At 46.2% G+C, this 1,420-nt stretch overlaps 1 annotated feature.

Annotated features, from left to right (window-relative positions):
* Positions 268-450: a silencer, noted in NCBI's record as "fragment chr7:135469316-135469498 (GRCh37/hg19 assembly coordinates)". NCBI's record gives its function as "represses an EF-1alpha promoter that drives an FKBP-Casp9 reporter gene in an ReSE screen in HepG2 liver carcinoma cells and phorbol 12-myristate 13-acetate-treated (for megakaryocytic differentiation) K562 erythroleukemia cells {active_cell/tissue: HepG2 | K562(+PMA)}" and the evidence as "EXISTENCE:reporter gene assay evidence [ECO:0000049][PMID:32094911]".

Genomic DNA, 1,420 nt, shown 5'->3' with positions numbered 1-1,420 from the left:
CTACAGCATTGAGTGCCTGTCATTATGTTCCTTCATAATTTCCTGTGCCTGTTATCAAAGCATTAATCACCCTGTACTATCATTGTCTTCTGCGTGTCCACTTTCTCCTAAACTGTAAGCTCTTGAAGGCTAGGGGTGCACTTCATTCATGTGAATCCTTAAAGACTAGAATGTATCACCTGGCACAAAGTAGGTGCTCAGCAAACATTCAACACATAAAGGATGAGGTGGGAGAGAGGAAATCTGACCAACCAATGCTTAGGAGGCAACAGGGTGCAAATGTTTCCTTCTGCCATCAGCCAACGCAGGAGGCTAATTAGGGAAGCCTAGGAAGTGCTTGGACTGTCCATGAGATGTGAGTTCTGCTAGCAAATCTTTAAGTGGATCATCTTAACCATCCGGTCCACGGACAGTTAGGCATGACCAGGAGGAGAACAATCGCACGCCCTGTTTTCCCATAAAGCACCTGAGACATAGAACCTGTGCCCACAGGGGCTGAAGGAGCTCGGAGGCAAGCGAGTGCAATGTGACTCTTGGGGGGCCTCTCTGGAAAGCTGAGTCTCAAAGAAAGGAAGTTCAAGAGCTGGTTTGTTACAGAAGTAGTGGGAAGAGGGGACAGGACTAACGGCAAGGTGGCTAGGACCAGCCCATTACAGGGGTAGAAATGAGCCTCTCTCTTCCCCTACCACCTTTCTTCTCCTTCCCCGCTACCACTATCCTGAGACTACGAGGCTGTAAGCTAGAGGCGAAAGATTGTGCAATAAAGCCCAAATTATGATAATGGTAGTGAGAATACAGCAGGAGAAGGAGGAAGACCAAGCAGACCTGAGTCAGGGAGGGAGGAATTGCGTGAGCAGAGGTGGAGAATTCAGATCCTCTCCGGACTAGAACAGAAAGTACAGACCATGAGTAACCGCAAAACAATAGGGTTGAATGGGTAGAGAGCCATCGAGGGGAGAACAGAGGTGGCAATGGGGAGGTATTTTGTGTTCTTAAGTAAGGACATAACAAAAGCAGTGTTTTGATAAGAACAACTTGACAGAGAGATGCAGGGTGGTTAGAGCAAAGCCTCTTAGGAGGCTGATAGACTGATCAAGGATTCTCCACGAAAGCTGTTACAGTGGTGGGGGTTAGAATAAGAGTTAAAGCAAGTGTTTCATTTTTAAGGAAGAAATCATTACTGCCTGGAGGACAGATTAGATATAAGGTGTGACGTGTAAGGAAGAGTTATCATAGAGGATTCCAAAGTTTCTGTGACTTGACTGAAAAACCAGAAGTTCCCTTGGTGGGAACTGGGTAATAGAGGAAGAAAGCTGGGATTTGGGATGGGAAGATAATTAAGGAGCTTAATTAATGAGATTAGTGAGACTGTAGGGAGAAGCACATTAAGGCGAAGGCAGAATCATCTACAGGAAACACC

This window comes from Homo sapiens, chromosome 7, assembly GCF_000001405.40.
Source record: "Homo sapiens chromosome 7, GRCh38.p14 Primary Assembly".
NCBI lineage: Eukaryota > Metazoa > Chordata > Mammalia > Primates > Hominidae > Homo > Homo sapiens.
Note: the sequence above shows the minus strand (reverse complement) of the source record. Positions and strands in the feature narration are given on the sequence as shown.